General features: G+C 61.9%; 1 annotated feature.

Annotated features, from left to right (window-relative positions):
* Window positions 215-264: a silencer, noted in NCBI's record as "silent region_3686". NCBI's record gives its function as "represses an Ori minimal core promoter by ATAC-STARR-seq in GM12878 lymphoblastoid cells {active_cell/tissue: GM12878}" and the evidence as "EXISTENCE:reporter gene assay evidence [ECO:0000049][PMID:35858748]".

Raw genomic sequence — 796 nt, forward strand, 5'->3', positions numbered from 1 at the left:
GCAGGGTAGGGGCCTGGGGGTGGGGTGGGGGCAGGGTGGGGGTGGTGTATCCCGAGGTCCTGCTTTGCTGCCTCTTCCGGATGGCCCATTTTGTTTACGAGCTGGAGGAGCTGCCTGCCCGGTGGAGGGCCAGCCTCGAGTCACTCTTAGAGCCCCTGGCACGCCACTGGGGGTCGCTGTGGTGGGGGGGGGGTGTTGGGACGGCCCATGCACCTGCTCTGTGAGTGGGAGGGGCAGCCAGCTTATCCATCCCGATGGTGGTGTCTCTTGGGCTCTTAGTGGCCCCCCACCTTCCCCTCCTCTATGTCTGCTTAAAGAAGAATTTCGGGGTGGAGGAAGCCGTGACAGCCACTTCTGTTTTCTCTCTATGCTTCCCTCTCCCGTGTGCTCCTGGCTCCCCAGGTCAGACTGCAGCGAGCGGGTCTGGAAAAGGCCAGCACTCCCCTCGGCAGAGGGGCCAAGAGGGGCTGCTGGGGTGGGGGTGGAGGTGGGCGGTCTTGCAGCAGAGCAGGGGAGGCTGCCAGGCCAGGGCCATTGTCACCCTAGCCTCCTCCATCACCCCAGCCTCCCCCGGTCACCCGGACCTCCCTTGGCTCCTGTGCCTGGTTGTCTCTGGCATGTGGTGACCTGGATGCTCCAAGTTTGATGTGGACTCCAGGAGTAGTCCTGCTATGGGAAATGAAATGTAGTTAGGTTCGAGAGCCAAATACACCATGGCCTTATTTGGGATGAAGGCTCATCCTCTGAGAGCCTGCAGTACCTCGTGGGGTTGACATCTTTCAGCTGACCCTCGGTG

Source organism: Homo sapiens, chromosome 11 (genome assembly GCF_000001405.40).
Source record: "Homo sapiens chromosome 11, GRCh38.p14 Primary Assembly".
In the NCBI taxonomy this organism is placed as follows: Eukaryota; Metazoa; Chordata; class Mammalia; order Primates; family Hominidae; genus Homo; species Homo sapiens.